This window comes from Homo sapiens, chromosome 10 (genome assembly GCF_000001405.40).
Source record: "Homo sapiens chromosome 10, GRCh38.p14 Primary Assembly".
Classification (NCBI taxonomy): domain Eukaryota; kingdom Metazoa; phylum Chordata; class Mammalia; order Primates; family Hominidae; genus Homo; species Homo sapiens.
This window is the reverse complement of record NC_000010.11, coordinates 17,434,296-17,455,885: the sequence shown is the minus strand read 5'-3', so window position 1 is coordinate 17,455,885 and position 21,590 is coordinate 17,434,296. Positions and strand designations below refer to the sequence as shown.

The 21,590-nt window shown below is 43.3% G+C and overlaps 1 protein-coding gene and 1 long non-coding RNA gene across 8 annotated transcripts in view; one reads left to right on the top strand and one right to left on the bottom strand.

Moving 5' to 3' along the window:
- Positions 1,291–21,590, top strand: part of ST8SIA6 (ST8 alpha-N-acetyl-neuraminide alpha-2,8-sialyltransferase 6) — a 139,175-nt gene continuing 118,875 nt past the window's right edge. For 4 of the 5 annotated variants that reach the window (NR_144322.2, XM_017016174.2, NM_001004470.3 and 1 more), the window contains exons 1-2: positions 1,291–1,731; positions 2,229–2,327. Coding sequence is in view for 2 of the 5 variants with exons in the window: in XM_017016174.2 (XP_016871663.1) it covers positions 1,631–1,731; positions 2,229–2,327 (200 nt within the window). In the remaining 3 variants the exon portion in view is untranslated. Of the gene's footprint in view, positions 1,732–2,228; positions 2,328–2,543; positions 2,686–21,590 lie in introns of those variants that run through there. The other variant, XM_024447977.2, reaches the window with a different exon arrangement.
- Positions 9,107–18,596, bottom strand: LOC105376436 (uncharacterized). Of its 3 annotated transcripts, none has more exons than XR_007062074.1 (4): positions 18,566–18,596; positions 14,600–14,648; positions 11,507–11,619; positions 9,107–9,352 (listed from the first exon to the last, which is right to left on the bottom strand). It is a non-coding gene; the product is annotated as an uncharacterized LOC105376436 (long non-coding RNA). The 3 variants fall into 3 exon arrangements; XR_930710.3 differs by lacking the exon at positions 9,107–9,352 and adding an exon at positions 10,330–10,596; XR_930709.3 differs by lacking the exon at positions 9,107–9,352 and having other exon boundaries at positions 10,643–11,619.

Below are 21,590 nucleotides of genomic sequence, written 5' to 3'. Positions count from 1 at the left end.
GCCATAAGAAGGATACCATAGGCTGGGTGACCGAAAGAACAGAAATTTATTTTTCACAGTTCTGGAGGGTAAGAAACCCAAGATCAGTGTGCCAGCATGGTCAGGTTCTGGTGAGGGTCCTCTTCCTGCTTGGCAGAAAGCTGCCCTCGTGCTGTGTCTTTACACTGCACAGAGCAGAGAGAGAGGAGGCAAATTCCCCGCTGCCTGCTCTTATGAGGGAACTAATTCCACCAGGAAGCCTCCACCCCATGAACTAATCAGGTATGAAAGGCCCCACCTCCAGATACCACCACATTAGATTGGGGATTTGGGTTTCAACATATGAATTTTGTAGAGACACAAACATTCAGCCCATAGCAGTGTTAAAAGAAAAACATCAGACAAATTAAATTTAGCACAGTTTATTCGAGCAAAGGGTTCATGAATTGGGCAGCACTCACAACCAGAGGAGGTCCAGTGAGGTCCACCCCATGGTGTGAGCAGCAAAGCCTGATAGGCCAAACTCAGAAGCACAGTGGAGAAACTGATTGGCTATAGCTATGCAGGCTGCCTTGTGGGGCCTGGTATAATGAGTTGGTTGCCCATGATTGGCCAGTAGCCCCCTGTTCATTACAGCCTAATGTAGGTTTCCATTGTTAGGTGGGAACTCAACGTACAGAGACAGCCTCAAGCTAATGGCCTCTTGCTTATTTAAGAGCAGTATGCAAACTTTTCCTGGAAAGTTTCAAATGGTAAATATTTTAGGCCCTGTGGGCTATGCCACCTCTGTCATCACTACTCAATTCTGCCCTTGCAGCCCTAGATCATACAGCCATATGCAGTCACTGATAATACAAAGCCATGGGCATGGAGGTTTTCCAATAAAACTATTTGCAAATACAGGCAGGGGCTAAACGGGTCTCCAGGTAGTAATGTGCTCATGCCTAAAGGTCTCCTAGCCCCTCATACCAGTTCGCTGTCCCTCTGAATCTGGGTTGAAGTAAGCACAGGTTACTGCTTCTGTTCAGTGTCATGATCCACCCAGCAATTCCCCAGTCCCCAGCTTTCTTCATGCGTGGGAGGATCCAGCCAAGCGACTGCACAGTTTTGAAAGTTTTTGAAGCGGCCCCTTTTTCTCCTCTCCTCTCTCCGCAGGCAGAGTTGTGGTGTGGCTGGGTGGTCTGCGTGGGCGTCCGGGGGATTCGCGGGCACTCGGGACGAGGCGAGGGCGCAGAAAACTTGGAGCCCAATCAGCACGGAGTTGAGCTTCCGCGCCCCAACCTTCAGGTGACCCCGCGCGGCGGCGGCGGCAGCAGCAGTGGCAGCGGCGACCGGAGCCCGCAGCAGCTCCGAGCGCCTCCGGGAGGACAGGCGGCGAGCTCGGCGAATCGTCATCTGCCAGCCGATCGCGGCGCTCCGCGGGCCGGGGCCGGGAGCCCGGGGCGAGCCCGAACGCGGCTTCTTCTCCGCCCGCCGCGGAGACTCTGCCGGGTGGGCTGCGGGCGCCCCTCGCTGCCGCCTGTGAACGCTGTGGGTGCGCGGGGCTGCGGCCACGGCGGCGGTGGCGGCGGCGGCGGGAGCCGCGAGTCGGGGCCGCCCGGGCTGTGCTTCGCCCCGGCAGCAGCGGTGGCGGCGGCGCCTGTGGCTCAGGATGCGGCCGGGGGGCGCACTGCTCGCCCTGCTCGCCAGCCTGCTGCTGCTGCTGCTGCTGCGCCTGCTCTGGTGCCCGGCAGACGCGCCCGGCCGCGCCAGGTAACCCACCCACCCGCCGGCCGCGCCCCGCGCCGCGCGCCCCGCCTGGCGCCCCCGGACCCCCAAGCCGCCCATCGCTTCCCCTCGGGCGCGGAGACTTTTGGCCGCGGCGGGGAGCAGCCCACGGGCGGCGACGGCCTGAGAGTGGAGTGGGGGAGGGGGTCGCAGGGAGGCGACCCTCCGACCGGTGGACGGCGGCTGGGGAGCAGAGGGACCGGTCAGGGCTGCGGGGGCTCTAGCGCGCATCGCTGTGGGCGAGGCAGCTGTGGAGCGGGACCTGCCGTCGGGTTCCGCATCAGGATCTCATGCTCCCCATTCTGGTCCTTGCTGTCTCTTCCTTCCCGCCCTAAGGCTCTTCCAACTCTGGGGCTGGGGACCTGGCCTGGGAGCCGGGGAGTGCGAGATCTCCCTGCCAGGCAAGGAGCGCGACTCCCAGCCTTTCAGCCAACAGCTCCCGGCGGGGTGTAGCAACTTAAGTTTTCTCCCCGGCTGTGCAGGATTCTGGTGGAGGAAAGCAGGGAGGCCACCCACGGCACCCCCGCAGCGCTGAGGACGCTCCGGAGCCCGGCGACCGCGGTACCGCGCGCCACTAACAGGTACAGCGGCGCCCAGCGCGGGCGGACTGGGGCTCGGGAGCTGCGAGCCGGGCATGGGGCGCGGCTGCACCGGCTTGGACTCGTTGGGAGTAGGCAGGCTGGGACGGCGCGAGTGAGTGTAAGAGTGTGCGTGTGTTTGAAGAGGGCGCGGGGTTGGGGGGGGGCACCCTTCACACTCCCTCAACCCTCTAAGCCTGGATGTGAATGGTCTTTGAATCAAGGGGGATCCTCCAGCAGCTGCATTTGAAAAACGGGTGCTGAGTTTTCCTCTCGACAATGGTGTGTTGAAAGCACCCCCGCCCCCGACCCCGCCACCTTTGGAGAGAAGCAGCTCAGCCTGTCTTTATGGAGGGATTTGGTTGGTTTGCTTTTTCTTTTCTATGCTTTAAAGGGCACCGGTGTTAAGATTCAGGTTTGTTTTGCGTGCTAGGAATGATTTTGTCCTTAGTGACTGGAGGCTTAAATTTTTTTTCTTATCATTCACATGTGTTTTTATTCATAGGCAGTAATTGTTTTTTTTTCAGATTGTAAAAGTAATACAGCTTTGTGCAGAAAGTTAGAAAATAGAACTGTATAAAAGAAAATGTTATTCATTCAGAGTCCTTACCTCTCAGAGACCATATTCAAGGTGGTTTTGGTCTATATTTCTTCCAGTAGTCTTTTCTATATACATATATTTCAAAAATATAACTTAGATTATACATTGCAGTTTATGTTCTGCCTTTTTTCTAAAAATCCTAGACCTATACCTGTCATTACATTCCCCTCCCCCCACAAAAACATTGCTTTGGATTGTTGCATAACTTATTATCTGAACATGCCATAATCTATTTAATAGTTTCCATTTTCAGACATTTAGGTTGCTTCTTGTTTCTGTTTTATTTTGTTTGCCATCAGTAATTCTATGAAATGCATCCTTGTATGTAAATCTTTATCTTCATTTCAAATTAATTACCCAAGATGGACAGACAGGAGTTGAGATTAGTAAGTCAAAGAGTATGTACTCTTTAGATTCTAAGTCACATTGTCAGTTGCTTCCTCGAAGGGCTGAATCAATTTACATTTTCACAAGCAGAATGTACTGCTTCCTGCCTTAGCATTGCTATTATGATTGCAATCTGCTATACGGTCTCTTTTCCTCTTTTTATCTCTTGCAAATCCCTTTTCTTCTGCGTATGCTTCTCTATATTCTTGGCTCTTGGATCCACCTTAATCTTCTGATGGTGTAACTCCAGGAAGCTCTAGCACGGCTCTAAGAAGGGTCTGGAAGTGGCTGGATAAACCCTGAATTGAGGAACACCACTGCCTGCCACCCCCTCATTGGAATTTCACAGCATATTAGAGGCACTAGGACCTCCTGGAGTAACAAAAGCTTTTGAGAAAAATAGTGTCCTATAGTTTTATTCTATTCAGGTTGGTGTACTATAGGTAGCCTAGCTTTCTTGATGAGCTGAGAAGCATTCCATCTTTTCCCGAGTCCTGTGGCTATTACACATTCGAGGGTTGACCCTTGGGGAAAGTTGGAAAGAATGTACTCATTAAATGGTTTGATCTCAGGTCGTTTTTAGAGGTAATCTTTGATGAATTTTTCACTTTCTTTTGACATACTTCTTTTCTACTTGGCATACTTCTTGGGCTAATATAGGTAACTCATAATTCTGAATATGGCCCATTTTATTAAGCTTTCTAAAATTTATACCATTCTGTGTTTGTAAAAGCCTCTTTATGTTTTGATTTATTTTATGTCCCCTTTATCATTTATGATTTTGGTTATTTATGGAGCAGGGGTGCAAGTTTTAATCCACCATACTACTTGGTTGTATAGAGAAATTGTAATTTCTTCATTTTTCTGGAGCTGGTCTGATCTTCCCACATGAGCCTCATGGTAATAATGCTGGTAGGAATAAGGAGAGCCAACAGTTAATGAACTCTTCTTATGGGCCAGACACTGATCTAAGCACTTGACATTTTTAATTTAAAAATTTTTCAAAATAGGTTTAGGGGGTAAAGTGCATTTTTGTTACATGGATATATTGCCTAGTGGTGAAGTCGGCATTTTAGTGCAACCGTCACCCAAATAGGGTGTACTCATTGTACCCAATGGATAATTTCTCAGCTCTCCCCTCACTCTCACTCTCCCACCTTTCTGTGTCTCCAGTGTTTATTATTCCACAATCTGTGTCTATATGTACACATTATTTAGCTCCTATTTATGAGAACATGTGGTATTTGACTTTCTGAGTTATTTCATGTAAGAGAATGGCCTCCAGTTCCCTTCCTGTTGCTGTAAAAGACATTAAATCCTTCTTTTTTTATGGCTGAGTTCTAGTATGTGGTACATATATGCCACATTTTCTTTATCCAGTCCTCTACTGAGGGACACTTAGGTTGATTCCATGACTTTGCTGTTGGGAATAAGCACTTTACATTTAATTCATTGAATCCTTAAGAAATACTAAGACAAACTATTGTTATTCTAATTTTTACAGAGGGGCAAATCGAAGCAACAAGATGAAGTAAATTGCCCACAGTCACAGAGTTAACACATTGTGGAGCCTGGAGTGAAACCCAGGCCAGGAGAATCCAGAATCCCACACGTTTAATCTCCCACTGTGTTGCCTGCCATAGGTGCTGGGAAAGATGGTGTGTGTGTGTGTCTGTGTGTGTGTGTGTGTTCAAATATTCAATCCAGGCAAAAGCTTAGAGGTGACAATTGAAGAGACTCTTTCTGGCAATATTTGTTCTTTCTGAGGAAAAATGCCCAGGCTCTCGGATTGCTCCTACCATCTCATCTCACTTTAAGATGCTATCCAAGTAGGCCGAGCACGGAGGCTCAAGCCTGTAATCCCAGCACTTTGGGAGGCAGAGGTGAGTGGATCACTTGAAGTCAGGAGTTCGAGACTAGCCTGACCAACATGATGAAACCTTGTCTCTACTAGAGGATACAAAAATTAGCTGGGTGTGAGTGTGTGCACCTGTAGTCCCAGCTACTCAGGAGGCTGAGAGGTGAGAATCGCTTGAACCAACGAAGGGGAGGTTGCAGTGAGCCAAGATCATGACACTGCACTCCAGCCTGGGTGGCAGGCCAAGGCTCTGTCTCAAAAGAAAAAAAGAAAAAGATGACATTCAGGTATATTAGGGAGGGGGCCTTAGGTGATGCAGCGGTCAAGAGTTGAAACTCATGATTATGGTATCTTTTCCTTCTAATCTACAGGGTGATGTTGATCCTTTTCCATCCGGTGTCCAGGCACTCTGTTGAGAGCCAACGATAAGATCTGCAGCTTGTGGCTCTTTCTTTTCCCTCAGGTGTTGCACCTGCTGTTGCTCCTGGCTAGTCTTGTCCTCACCTCAGATCCTACTGATGTTACCTTTCAGGGATCTAGCAAAGATTCTCTTCTGATCCTATCTTGGGTTGTCTCTCTGCGACATTTGCTATGATGCTACTCACTCAGCTGTTGCTAGCTAGCTCCACAGCCACCTCTCACCTATTTCTGGGCCTCATCTAAACATATAAAAACCAAAATTGGTTCAGAAAACTAAATATCATGGCCTCCCTCTACTTGCTCCAGCAAGTAGATGTGACCCTACTCTTAGTTATCTCAGGATGGAGTGCTGCCCAAGAAGTGATCTATTTCAAAATCCTGATTGGAGGAGGAAGCAAAGCTTTTTTGTCCTTGTTATTACTCTTGTCACTAGCTTTTTATTGCCCCCATCTTTCTCCCTCTCTGAGCCAAAACTTTCCTCTTTCTTTTTTGCTCTTCTGCTCCTACTGACTCAGTTCCAGAAATTTGCAGGCTTCCCTGTTTCATATTCTATTTGCCCTGATGCAAACCTCCAAGTCTAACTCAAGCTCAAGCCTTAATGATAAATTGTGGGGACTAGAGGCAAAGGATTGGGGAAATTCAAGGAGCTGTGTCTTCCAGGTAAGATGGTTAATGTGCTAAAGTGGGAGAATGAAAAGAATTTGGAATATATTCTCTTGAGGCTGCAGAAAATTCTATTTTACTTGTCTAAAGTGGATTATTACCTTATCTTCTCTTTTTGCATTCTTTCAGGAAAAAGTCTTAATCTCTTCTTCCTCCCTGCAAAGATGTTTCAAGTGGTCTAGGGTAAGGTCATATACTCAGAAAGACAAAAGAGAAAATAAACTAGTAGTTTTCAAAATATCACCCCATTACAATGGATCCTTTCTCTTGCTAATAAGCTTTGTCAAAGTTTTTCATTGGCTTTCTTGTTCTTTAAATAACCAGCTCTTGGATTTATTTCTCAATTTATATATATTTTCATGTTCTATTTCCTTTGTGGTACTTTTATCTTTTAAAATATTCTATTTTTTCAACTTAATATCTTGAAATGAATACTTGATTTATTTATGTTATTTTTCCTCTTTTTTGTAACAAAAATATTTAATACTATGAATTTTCCATTGAATGCAGCTTTGGACTCATTTCTTCAGTTTCTATATATGTTTAGATTTTTAAAAATACATTCTAAACTGTTTATAATTACATTTTAGAACTTTTTGTTTATCTTCAGAGTCATTTAGGTGAAGACTTTGAATATTTTATTCTAAAATATTATTTTCTTAAATAATATTAATTTCATTTTGATTATGAAAGAAGCTCAATAAAACCCTGCCGGCCGGGCGCAATGGCTCACGCCTGTAATCCCAGCACTTTTGGAGGCCGAGATGGGTGGATCAAAAGGTGAGGAGATTGAGACCATCCTGTGAATGGTGAAACCCTGTCTCTAACAAAAAAAAAAAAAAAAAAAAAATTAGCCTGGCGTGGTGGCGGGCACCTGTAGTCCCAGCTACTAGGGAGGCTGAGGTGGGAGAATGGAGTGAACCCAGGAGGCGGAGCTTGCAGTGAGCCGAGATTGTGCCACTGCACTCCAGCCTGGGTGACAGAGCGAGACTCTGTCTCAAAAACAACAACAACAACAACAAGAACAACAACAACAATAAAAACCCTGCCATAATGCCATAAGTGAGTACCCAAATATCCAATCATTAGAAATGAGGGGTTGAATTATTGGGAGATTAATGAAACGGCCCGCACAAGCTTGTGTAACTAGCTAATTTGGAGTTCCATGGGAACATCCATGTCTTGGCTATGATTTGGCACCTTTTGGTGGCAGCTGTCCACTTTGGCTTTAAACATCTGTGGTGATGATTTGGGATTGTGTGGCTGGCCGTGACGTCCTGGACAGCAACTGCTGTTATTCTTTGAATGTCCTGGTTAGTTGGTGTCTGTTTCATTGGCCCATCTGTGATGATTGAACCATGAGTTTACCAGAGACGGGGGACCTCACCTTCATGTCTCTGTTTTCCTATAGAGGTTCGCCTGCTATTTATCTTAATGGCCTTTCTCTCCCTTTCCTGTGGTCCTTTTCCTCTGCAGAAGGACTTTGGCCTCTACTTGCTAATTGGTAAGGCTAATTAGAAATCCTCAAACTAGGCCAGGCACAGTGGCTCACACCTATAATCCCAGCACTTTGGGAGGCCAAGGCAGGCAGATCACTTGAGGTCAGGAGTTTGAGACCAGCCCAGCCAACATGGTCAAACTCTTGTCTCTACTAAAAATACAAAAATTAGCCAGATGTGGTGGCGGGTGTCTGTAATGCCAGCTACTCAGGAGGTTGAGGCACGAGAATCACTTGAACATGATCTCACCAAGATCGCTCCACTGCACTCTATCCTGGACAACAGAGTGAGACTCTATCTCAAAAAAAAATTTTTTTTAAATTTTAATATTAGTTAAATTAATCTACATAGTTTTTGGGGTCATGTGGCAAAGGGGTGGACTTTTTAGTTAGTAATTATTATTTTATTATACACTTTTTCCTATGAAAATTATTTTTTGATTTGAATTGAGTTATTGCTTAACAACCTAGTACTATTTAGATTATCTTTTCATTGCTTGGAATTTATCATTTTAAATGATCCCCTCCTCATTTCTTCAGTTCTTTGTTCTTTATTTCTTTCTTGGTCATAAGCTTGGTATTTATTTGCATAAGTCTAATATTTTTAGCATTGGAATATGGATTATAGTCATGAAACTTTAGATATTTGAGGGCACTTTTTTTTTTGGTAGTTCATGAAAGCTTTCCTTGTATTTTAAGGACATAATTCTTTTTGTTTTTTTTCTTTTGAGAAGGAATTTTGCTCTCGTTGCCCAGGCTGGAGAGCAGTGGCGCAATCTTAGCTCACTGCAACCTCCGCCTCCTGGGTTCCAGTGATTCTCCTGCCTCCGCCTCCTCAGTAGCTGGGATTACAGGCCCACACCACTGCACCTAGCTAATTTTTATAAAGATAGGGTTTACTAATTTTTAGTAAAGATGGGGTTTCACTATGTTGGCCAAGCTGGTCTCCAACTCCTGACCTCGTGATCCAGCCCCCTCGGCCTCCGAAAGTGCTGGGATTACAGGCATGGGCTACTGCTCCCGGCCACAATTCTTATTTTTCATACATGGATTCTGTTATTTGATCACAGCTTTATTATTTTTTCTCTTTTTCTTTTTTTTTTTTTTTTTGAGACAGAGTCGGTAATGGCGCTATCTTGGCTCACTGCAACCTCTGCCCCCAGGGTTCTAGCAATTCTCCTGCCTCAGCCTCCCAAGTAGCTGGGAATACAGGCAGCATCTGCCACCACGCTCAGCTAATTTTTTTTTTTTTTGGTAGACACCAGGCCAGTCTTGAACTCCTGACCTCAGGTGATTCACCTGCTGCAGCCTCCCAAAGTGTTAGGATTACAGGCATGAGCCACCGCTCCCAGCCCTTTTTTTCTTTTTATTCTTAAAGCTTTGTAGACATTTTTCCTCTATTTTGTGAAGTGAATCTTTGTTTTCTGTCTCGCATAGTTCTTATTCTGCCTTTTCTTCACCATCCCCTCCCCAAGTTAATAACTTTATTTCTCTTTCAGATTTTGGCTTTGTCTTTTTCCTCTGCTTTCTGGGATGGCTTCTCAAATTTGTCTTCCATGTTACTGAATTACTTTTCCGAAGTGTCACTTCTCTGTTGTGCTCTATCAAAAACAGTAAATTGGTTACATTTTTATTCTTTACAATTATTTTCTTCTCTCAGCCTGAACCTTACTGTATCAGTTTACATCTCAGAAAGCATTTAAGTAGCCTTTTACATCTCACTTTCCATTTGTTATTTTGTGTTTTCTTATATTTCATTGAGTCCACCAAGGGAATGTTTTCTAAAGATTTCCTGTTTCTTGTAGTTAACTGTTTTTCAAAAGTATGATTTTTCTCTGCATTTTAAGAGCAATAGCCTCCTCCTACATTATAGAATATTTTCATAAGTTTTGTGATTTTTTTTGTTTGTTTTCGACCTAGATGTCCTCAAGTGAGGAGTCCTCTGTCCCACTATGCTTATCAGATTGGAGGACTTAGGACTTGCTGCTGTCCACCTCAGGGACTAAAAGATTTCCCTTTTTACAGCATTATGGATACCAGAGCCATATACCCCTTAAACAAATCTCTGAATGTTTAAAGTTTGAGTTTTTTTTTTTAATTGTGATAAAATACACATAACATGAAATTTACTAATTTGAATTTTTGGATACCAGACCCCAAAACTATCTCTTGCTCTCATGCCTTGGTTTCATGACTGTCAGAAGTACATGCATTCCTAGGTGATCCTGGTCACCCTGACCTGCCGCTGCTGCCAGGAATGGTACGTGACAAATGTCATCTAATAACCCTGGGAGGGCTGGGTCCACCAGGCTGTCCCAGTATCCACCACCCTCTTCCTATCCTCAGGGTGCAAAGGCCAATTCACTCCCTTTCCCGTTTCCTTTCATTCTTTCAGTGTTGCTGTATTATGTAGTACGATACAATAGAATATAATGTAATCAACATGTAATCTCAAGAGGATGTAGGAAGACAGAAATGAAGGGGCACTGGGGACAGAGGCACCCAAGCAGCCCTTTCTGCCTCAGGCAGCAGATCCCTTCCTGTGTGGGAGAAGCTACCTGATTTTCCAGTTGGGGCAGGCTCTCTATTCTTTGGAAAAGAAAGGCAGACGGTGGGAGGAGAATCAAAACCTCTCTAGTTTTTTTCTCCCTGGACCTGGTCTGTTTCTGAGGTGAAAATTTACATCAGCTGCTGGTAATTCCTCAGAGTGGTTCCATATTTGCTTTTGTTAATAATATCTCTTCCCCAAGCCAGATAAATTTCTGAAGCAGCTGATCTGTTGCCACCGAAATGTGCGCTTGTCATTTTGTGTAGACTTGTGTCTGTTCGTAAGAATGTAAATAGTCTGGAAGAGAGAAAATCAGGCACTGTTTACTCTCTGCTGTCTTATATTGAAAGTTGTAATAATGTTTTATTTGACATTTTTTGTTGTATATGTTCACAATGGGATCATAACTACAGGCTTCAGAAAATTCAAGATGAGTGTGAACTAGAGCTTGAAAAAAGAAAACTAACCCTAACTCTAGAACACTTGATTTTTACCCTTTTACCACTTTCCTTTCCACCTCATGCTCCAAATAGATGAAGGCTATTAGATTTTACTTCCAAGAGCAATAAAAGGTTTTTCACTGTTGTGTCTTTGCTTTTTGAAGTAATGATACGAATATGTGTTCTGATTTTAAAAATTCAGAATGCTTTAAAGCTGCCTTGAGTCTGGTTTCTGAAAAGCTTTGAAATGGGCTTAAATCTTGCATTCTGCTTCTTTTTCTACTTCCTAATTCCATCTTAATTGCAACCCTTCTCTTTTAAGACTCAGAGGGGTTTCTCCCCCATCTCTGTTCTGATGTGACTTGCTTTTCTCCTTGCCTTCCCTGTTTGGAAATGGGTTTCACATTTGCTTCCCAGGTTGACATTTTTCAGTGCTTTCATTCTTTGTCACCTCTCTGGCTGCTCTGCTCTGGAAAAGCTATCAGGTGCAATTGTCCGGGGCAGCTGGCCCAGGTAGAGGGCTACAGAGTATGGGCTGCAGTCACCCCTGAGCTTCTGTGGGTGTCTTTTCACGTGCACAGGAGAGCCAGGGAGAGCTTGAAGGACACAAGGAAATGCCCTGCTATTGCCTTTCCTCTGTGGACTGGGTAGAGGAACAGGGCAGCAGTTCATGAAGAAATGGTGTCTGAATGACCCACCTCCCATTTCAGAGGTTGTTGGAGGTGGAATTTTATTTTCTGTCTCACTCATATAACTCTACTACTTACTTGACAGCACTTCTCTTAACAAAGAGGCTGGGATGTTTCTTTTTATGACTCACGAGGCAACGTTCGACAGACAATACCGTTTACACACATATGTCAAAGCAAAGGTGGTTTCCCTGCAACAAAAATCAAGACTTCCTTAGTTGGGTAGCGTTGTCTGGTCTTGTGTATTAATTCAGTGTCTCCTTATTAGACATTTCCTTTAAGGCAACAGGCATTAGCATAAATGTGAAAGAAGAAAAAAAACCTGACTGCCCAGGGGAGGCAGGAAGGATATCTTTGGAGGGGTGGTTATAGAGAAACACAGACATTTTGGCCTATTAGGTGCTAACGCTGGAAATAACGAGACCAGAGGCTTGGTTACAGCAGAAGGGATATGAAAGGAAGAAAAGGAAAGAAATATATCCCCTCTTTTGCAAGGTGCAGCGATTCCTTTTAGAGTCAGTAGTCTTCAGCTGTTCTGTGATCTAAGGGTGCGAGGGTTCTGTAATCTCTCATTTGCAGGGCAAAAAGAGAAGCCCTTTAAAAAGCCACGGATGGTTTGGTAAACATGAGAAAGGTGCTCTTTTCTTCCCCGATGCCTTGTTTTATAGCTTCCTTTGCCATTAGGAAGATGATCATTGCTGTAGTACATTTATCTACATACACTTAGGAGTTTAGCTTGTCCAGGGCAGCAAAGCCCATCTTTTCTATGTCCTCAGATTTAAACAAATTTATTATGATTTTTCACCAAGTACTAAGAATGATTTGTACATGCTGTAGATAATCAGTCATTAATTCTGGGGAACATTCATATCCATGGGCATAATTATTTCTAAAGATAATTTTATAGGGCACAACCTGTGCTTTTGCAGTTATTGTAAAACAATTTTTGTTATCTTGCTAGTTATTGTTGTTATTGTAAAATACACCGAAATTCTCTACCGTATAATTTTTAAATGCAGCATTCCCAGAAATTGAGGTTGTAAAGAGACCATTAATTTTGCAAATGATTAAAGTCTCTCACTGGTTGCTGGAACCTCTGTTGGAATGCTGTCTTTAGAAGCTGCATTTGGATTCCATATATTCTTTTTTTGAGATTATATCCCCTTATTTCCTAACTCTATAAAATAAATGTGTGATTCCAAAACCTGGTGTTTGCCAGGTATCTTCTAAGTCTATAATACGTATTTTATAATATTGTTGGTACTTTGCTATTTCAGGAGGACACCTATATCCTACATATTTATATTTGCCAATGTTGCTTTACTGTTTGCACATTAAGTTGTGGGCATATTTTTGTGTTTTTGAGCTGGGAGTCCATCCAACACACCATGTTCACTTTGGGTATACCAAAGTATTTACGCTTCCTATATCTAGGGAACATTATACATGCAATAGATTGTAGTTCTGGGAAGTCGAAGCCTTGTCTATCTTTTTCACCACTGACCCCATTTATAATCTAGAACAGCAGCTTTTTGGGATTTGAGTTTTGTTGCCTTGTCTAGGTTTTTGGAGGTGCACTTTACCATGTTGTATTACAGGATGGATAGACAGTGAGATTTACGTGACAAAATAGCCTGAGTTTATAGTTGTGTGCTTATGTGTAAGCATATAAAATAACATTTTCTAATTGGAAGAGGATGATTTAAACCTGCAGAGTTGAAAACCCATATCTATAATTATTTCTTAAAGGCAGACTGTATATTAACAAAGAATTTGAATAATAAGCTGGTATAAAGTCTTATGATATTTGTACTTAGGAGAATTTTTTCAAATAAATAATTTGGAGATTAATGATCACATATCTCTTCAGTCAATGCTAGCACTCGCTTCTGTAGGATTTTGAACACTCTTTGAAAAGCTACAGATCAATGGAAACTTTGTATAGAAATGTAACTTTAGAAAAATAATGATTTTAAAAAATGCATCTCCAAGGCAGAAATTAGTGTTACTCAGGTTTATTCTGGGCTGCTGCTAGACAATCCTTTTGAAGAAAAATGGCACATTCTAAGCTAAAAAGTGTTCACATAAATTTTTTGATTTTGTCGTATATCACTACTCACATATGTGAGTAGTAATATTGGTTTCTTGGGCTGGTTTCTTGGAAAAAGCTGTAACAACCTGGAAAATATTGCATTTACCAAACATTGCCCACTGTATAAGGTTTCTTCCATTTTCCTTAAGAGTGTGTTTTGGCAGAATGAGACACATATAACATTTTAAAAGATTGTTTTGGCCGAGTGCAGTGGCCCACGCCTGTAATCCCAGCACTTCGGGAGGCCGAGGCAGGTGGATCACGAGGTCAGGAGTTTGAAACCAGCCTGGCCAACATGAGGAAACCCCATCTCTACTAAAAATACAAAAATTAGCCAGGCGTGGCGGCAGGCACCTGTAATCCCAGCTACCTGGGAGGCTGAGGCAAGAGAATCGCTTGAACCTGGGAGGTGGAGGTTGCAGTGAGCCCAGATCACACCACTGCACTCCAGCCTGGGTGACAGAGCAAGACTCCATCTCAAAAAAAAAAAAAAATTGTTTTATATCGTCTTTACTATAAAAACAATAAAAATTAGAGCTTGTGTTTAGGGCCAATTTCAAATGTGGAACTTTCAGATAAGTCTTTTTAATAAATGTAATTTTATTGAGTTTGACAGATTCTTTCAAATGAAACTTAATTAAATTAATTAACAAATTTAGAGGGTGGGACTTCCAGATGGTGGAGCGAGGATAGTTTTCAACAAATGGTGCTGGCACAATGGGATCTCTATAAGCAAAAAGATAAGTTTAGATCCAGGGGCCGGGTGCAGTGGTGCACGCCTGTAATCCCAGCACTTTGGGAGGCTGTGGCAGGTGGATCACTGGAGGTCAGGAGTTCGCGAGCAGCCTAACATGGTGAAACCCTGTCTCTACTAAATACAAAACAATTAGCCAGGCATGGTGGTGCATGCCTGTCATCCGAGCTACTTGGGAGGCTGAGACAGGAGAATCGCTTGTACCTGGGAGGTGGAGGTTGCAGTCAGCTGAGCTCGCGCCATTGCACTCCAGCCTGGGAAACGAGCGAGACTCCGTCTCAAATAAATAAATAAATAAATAAATAAAGATAATTTAGATGCTTACCTTACACTATACACAGAAGAATGGTTTCCACATGGATCACAGACAAAAGCTACAGACAGAAAATGTCCAAAAGAAAACATACAAGAAAAATTTTAGAAGCTTGGATCAGGTAGCATTCTTAGATGTGGCACCAAAAGCATAATCAATAAAAGAAAAATTTGACAAATTATATTTTTCCTAAATTAAAAAAAAGTTTGTGCTTCAACAGACACCATTAAGAATATAAAAACATAAGCCATCCACTGAGAGAAGATATTTGTATATCATACATCCAATAAAAGACTTGTATCCAGAATATGTAATGAACTCTTGCAACTCAATTAACAAGAAGACAACCCCAGTTTAAAAATGGGCAGATGTGAAGACCTATCTTCAGCAAAGAAGATAGACAGATGGCTAATAAGCATGTGACAAAATGTTCTACATCATTAATCATTAGGGAAATGCAAACCAAAACCCCAATAAGATACAACTCCATGTCTTTTATAATGACTTTTGTAGCAATGCCACCGTGACATGGAGAAGGCTTCCTCCCAAGGTTAGCTTCTACTGCCGAAGCTCCTGACAGTGGTTCTTTAGCGGGATCACAGAAAGGTTTATTACTCACATAGGCAGGAAGTCCTGGGGTAGGGTTAGAGGAGGATAAGAAGTTTTAGAACACGGAGAGTGCATAGCCGGTGTAGTGCACAGGAGTTTTGTCTACTCCTTATGAATGTATGGATAGCCCTAAGACCTTGAGGCAAAGTTTAACATTTGAGAAACTATTACAAATTACATTTGAGGCTGGGTGCGGTGGCTCACACCTGTAATCCCAGCACTTTGGGAGGCCGGGGCAGGTGAATCACTTGAGGTCAGGAGTTCGAGACCATCCTGGCCAACATAGTGAAACCTCGTCTCTACTAAAAATACAAAAATTAGCAGGGTATGGTGGCGGGCGCCTGTAATCCCAGCTACTTGGGAGGCTGAGGCAGGAGAATTGCTTGAGCCCGGGAGGCGGAGTTGCAGTGAGCTGAGATCATGCCACTGCACTCCAGCCTGAGTGACAGAGTGAGACTCTGTCTCAAAAAAAAAAAAAAAAATACATTTGAGAAACTATTGAGTTGAGAAACTATTACAAAACTGACTAAAAATCAGTATCCCTTTGCCTCCAGGAGTTGTGGAGTAATTTCCTATTGCTTATGATTATGAAAGCCGTAGGCACTGTCATCCTGAATCCCATAGTTATACCCCATTCAAATTGCTGTAATGGAGTGAAGCCAGAGCTGGCATCTGATTTAAGATTGTTGGCACTGGGAGTTTATTTAAGATCTTCCTTTCCTCGTTGGAAGATCCACATAGTTCTAGGGAGTGTTGAATCTTTGTTGTACAATTGAAAATACCTCCATTTGTGTTCATGAACTTTGTAGGAACAGCTGCATAGATATTTTATTGCTCTAATGATTTCTAATGAGCCATTTCCTCCTGGGAGATAGCCTCAGCATGCCTTGTAGTGATTCCTCTTCTTCACATGCCGTTGGCCTGGGAGTCTCTAAATTGACACGTGGGAAGTGGGGGTAAAGTGAGCCTTGTTAGGATTGTGCAGGAGGCGACAGACACGGTGGGGAGATGAAGCTTAGAGATTGCTGGCACCAAATCAGACATTCATGGAGGTCCAAGTGCAGCTACTTTGGAAAAGAGTTTGGCAGTTTCTTAAAAAGTTAAACATATGCTGGACATGGTGGCTCACGCCTGTAATCCCAGCACTTTGCTGAGGCCGAGGCGGGTGGATCACCTGAGGTCAGGAGTTTTAGACCAGCCTGGCCAGCATGGCAAAACCCTGCCTCTACTACAAATACAAAAATTAGCAGGATGTGATGGTGGGTGCCTCTAATTCCAGCTACTTGGGAGGCTGAGGCACAAGAATCACTTGAACATGGAAGGCGGAGGTTGCAGTGAGCCAAGATTGCACCACTGCACTCCAGTCTGGGTGACAGAGAGAGGCTCCATCCCCAACTCCAAAAAAAAAAAAAAAAAAAGAGAGGGAAGAAGCACAGAAAGTAATAATGCATGACCTGTAAATCACATGTAGTGAGATGTGTAAAAAGCTGAATACCTAAACACTTGAGATATGAATCTGAAAAGCTGGAAGAGGAAGAAATGAAATTATCATTTTAAATGAAGAAGATAGCATTTTCAACTTGAAATTAAGTAGAAACTGTAAAACTGTAAAAAGCTGTAGTTTGGAAGGTGGTTTGTGTTTTTTATTTGCCATAATATGTCATCTTATGGAGGCTGTGAAGCACATTTTGGGTAAAGCAGTCTGAGTCAGTGACCAACACACTGGATTGAAAAAGAATTGTTAACTCTGAAAATGTGACTGAATTATGTGAAGAGGCTCAAAAGGTAAGAGTTATTCTAACAAGGTCTGTGCAATATTCTCTTGGTCTTAATCCCTTTTCCTCAAAGATGAGAGTTTGCCTTTCCTTTTAGTACAGAGGAAGTGTCTTTTACATGGGAATTTAATCTTTTGCTTTTAATAAATACCGCAAAGGTCAAAATGATTTTCTTTGTTATCTTCTGGTTTCCAAGTGTCTTTACTTAAATAGTCAGTATGACAGAATAGCTGAGGAGTTTTGGAAAAAGAGAGCTTAGCTTAGAGAAAGATAAAGAGGAGGAGGTGTAGGAAGGGAAGGGAAAGGCTTTGGACTGGAAAGTCTCAGCTAGCTCACAGGCAGTCTTTGAGTCCTGAATGTGTTTTGGAGCCTTCAGATACCAATTGAGATATGTGTCCTATTTGGACTGTGTGATTTTATAGGTGTCATTTTTTTTTTTTAGTTTAGTTTTCAGAAAAACAGACTCTTTGAATAATCTCCATAATGTTTGTATATGTTACCAGCTGGGGTCCCAGAGCTAGGAGCTATATTGGCATGCCTTTGAACTTTGAGAGCCCATTTGTAAATAAATTTATCTAGGTGATTCGGTTTAATGCCGAATACACAAAAGCCAAATTAAACTCTTAAGTGTGCAAATGAATTGGAGTCTAAAGTACATACTTATCAAGAAAGATGATAACTCTTCTCCAGTGGGGAAAAGTCCCTGTAACCAGGAGGGGAAAAAACCCTTTCTAAACAGGAGATCTCATAACCAGGACAGGGAAAGACCTCTCATAACCAATTCCCAAATAAAATCAAGCTCAGTAAAATAAAATAAAAAGAGAGTTTAGTCCAAGAGAGACTCAACAGGCAGTAAAAGAGGCAACCTACAGAAACAGGGGGGCATGGCCAGGCATGGTGGCTCACACCTGTATTCCCAGCACTTTAGGAGGCTGAGGTGGATGAATCACGAAGTCAGGAGTTCGAGATCGGCCTGGCCAATATGGTGAAACCCCATCTCTACTAAAAATACAAAAATTAGCTGGGCATGGTGGTGCCCACCTGTAGTCCCAGCTACTCAGGAGGCTGAGGCAGAAGAATCGCCTGAACCCAGGGGGCAGAGATTGCAGTGAGCCAAGATTGGGCCACTGCACTCCAGCCTGGGTGACAGAAGAAAGAAAGGAAGAGAGAAAGAGAGAAAGGGAGGGAAGGGAGGGAAGGGAAGGAAGGGAAGGAAGGGAAGGGAGAAAGAGAAAGAGAAAGAGAGACAGAAGGAAGGAAGGAAGGAAGGAAGGAAGGAAGGAAGGAAGGAAGGAAGGAAGGAAACAGGGGGTCCAAGGGGCCTGAATGTGGGTACCACAAGCCATAGTTCCAGGGCCTGTTGTTGATCTCTCCAAGGTGAGTCTGCTTCAGACCCCACTTCTGACACCAAGTATGCTGAAATCAAAATAAAATATAGAGATTGTCCAGGCATGGTGGCTTACACCTGTAATCCCAGCACTTTGGGAGGCCAAGCCAAGAGGATTTCTTGAGGCCAGGAGTTCATGACTAGCCTGAGCAACATAGTGAGACCATGTCTCTATAAACTAAAAATTAAAAAATAAAATAAAATTACCTGAGTGTGATGGCACATGTGTAGTCCCAACTACTTGGCAGGTTGAGGCAGAAGAATTGCTTGAGTCCAGGAGTTCAAGGCTGCATTGAGCTGTGATTGCGCCACTGCACTCCAGCCTGAGGCAACAGAGCAAGACCCTGTCTCAAATATATGTGAAATACGTATGAGAGAGAGAGAGAGAGAAATGAATCTGTAAGTGAAATGTTTTATTTGGGAATCATAGAATTGCAATTTGGGGCATACACACAGATGGAGTGTTCTTGGGTATGCCTGAAGAACAAAGAGAAGGTTGGGAGTTTGTATTAGTTAGTTTTCACGCTGCTGATAAAGACGTACCCGAGACTGAGCAATTTACAAAAGAAAGAAGTTTAATGTATTCACAGTCGCACGTGGCTGGAAAGGCCTCACAATCATGGTGGAAGGTAAAAGGCATATCTCACAGGGTGGCAGACAAGGGAAGAGGGCTTGTGCAGGAAAACTACCCTTTATAAAACCATCAGATACTATTCACAACAGCAAAGACTTGGAACCAACCCAAATGTCCAACAATGATAGACTGGATTAAGAAAATGTGACACATATACACCATGGAATACTATGCAGCCATAAAAAATGATGAGTTCATGTCCTTTGTAGGGACATGGATGAAGCTGGAAACCATCATTCTCAGCAAACTATCACAAGGACAAAAAACCAAACACTGCATGTTCTCACTCATAGGTGGGAATTGAACAATGAGAACACTTGGACACAGGATGGGGAACATCACACACCAGGGACTGTTGTGGGGTGGGGGGAGGGGGGAGGGATAGCATTAGGAGAGATACCTAATGCTAAATGACAAGTTAATGGGTGCAGCACACCAACATGGCACATGTATACATATGTAACAAACCTGCACGTTGTGCACATGTACCCTAAAACTTACAGTATAAAAAAACAAAAACAAAAACAAACCATCAGATCTAGTGAGACTTACTCACTAGCATGAGAATAGCACATGAAAGACCTGCTCCCATGATTCAATTACCTCCCCCCCAGGGACCCTCCCACAACATGTGGGAATTAAAGATGAGATGTGGGTGGGGACACAGCCAAACAATATTGGAGTTTTATCAGTAAGACAAGTGTTATGTATTGTTTTGAAAGAAAGCTCATTGGCACGATAGAAGGTTTTGGGAGCTGGCAAGCTCTGACTGGTGAGTGACAGTGGTAAGTAAAACTAGTCTTAGAGTCGCAGCAGGTGATTCCAGCAGCTGCTAAGTAAAACTCATCTTAGGGTTACAGCACATTGTTTTAGTAGCTGGGTTTGTGGATAATTTTTGAAACAGGTGCTATGTGCGGAATGCTTTCCCTCCGCTGGTCCCTAGACTCTGATTTATTTGGGTATGGCAAGAATCACCCAATTCACATAATCAACTTTCACAGAAGTAATTTTGTTGTTGGGATATGAGAGGATGTAACTTTTTGAAGTGCATCAACTTTTAAGAAGTCTCGTTAGGGAATCCACATTGTTATAAAAAATATCTTGAGGTGAGACACAGACACAATGGGCAAAATTCTCCATTAATATTCAGATTTCTTGTATTGCCTGCCCCCCACCCCCCCAACCCCCCATTTTATAAGCAGTTCAAGTCAGGGCTGAAATGCTGTTTGTTTAAGATAGAGAATAGTCACCCAAATGGGAGTCCCTGTGATCTATGGGGCTTTGTGTCAAGCTGAATAGAACCAAGGAAGTTTAGCAATTATTCAACTGTTCCTAAGTGCCAGGTTTCAGCAGCTTAGTATGATTTCATTTAATTCTCACCACAATGTTATTATGTAGAACTGGTAATATTCTCATTTTACCAAAGGAGAAGCCAAAACACAGAGAGGTCAGTAACTTGTCCCAGGCCACAAAGCTGAAGGCTGTGTTCCTCATGGTCTTTGCCCTCATGGGAATTAGGCTCCAGATGGTGAAACAGAGATAAGCTGCAGTGTGTCTCATAGGAAATGGAGATAAAGCTTTCTGGACATTTAGGGGACTTGGAAGAAGGAGGTGAGCACATATGACAGGCTTTTGGGGACAGAGGACCTTGGGGAGACCTGGAAGTGATAGAATTTGGCCTAGAAGCCACATACCATACTGAGAGGCAAGAGAACAGCTCAGATCTTTGAATCTCTTCAGATTACGAAGTCAAACTTAATGAATTCAGATATGCAGCAGCAACAAGGAATGCAGAATAAGCCACGCATGGTCAGCTTCAGGGGGCTTTCCAGGGGGCTGGCATCCCCCTGAGTGTAATTTAGGCCCCAGGCCATTTTTGAAAATAACCTGGAGAGCTTTCTCAGCATGGGAGTCCTTGCCGAATCTGGGAGCTTGGAGCTGCCCCAATCTGTGTGGGTGGGTCGGAGAGTCTGTGCCCAGCCTTAAAGGCGGAAGCTGGTGTTCTGGTGGCCACCTCCAGAAAGTTGCCCTCTCCAGAAAGTCACAAGAGAAACCATAAACCATGCCAGTGAACATGCACTGAGGCCTCATTATTTACTTTACCCAAGTTGCAGTTAACCAACTCAGTTTTCCTTTCCCGTGTGTGTGTGTGTGTGTGTCCTCCCAACACCTACAGACACAGGTTCACCCTTCATTCCTGCTGCGTACAGGCTGTATTTGTGGGATTGCACTGTACTTTCAGGAAGGTCCAGGGAATAAGCACATCCGCCTCATTCACCCTGAGTTTCATTAAGAGCAAGTCCCCTAAGAAAAGAATGAATTTATATCCAAAGATTCTATCCCAACTCACTCAAAAAGATGATTTTCTTTTCTTTTGAAAATATTCTTCTCAGCACAGTACTGACTCTTAGCACACAGTCAAAAGGTTATTAATGGCTTCATTCATCCGTTCAGTGGATATTTATGCTGCAGGAAACCTGTGCTCTTATCTTAGAGCCTGGGTACCAACAGGGTGAATATGCAGGTGGTACCTAATTTGATCGGGTAAAAACATCCTTCTTTCCTTAGGAAGGCAGGTGCTAGGTCCAGATCTGCAGT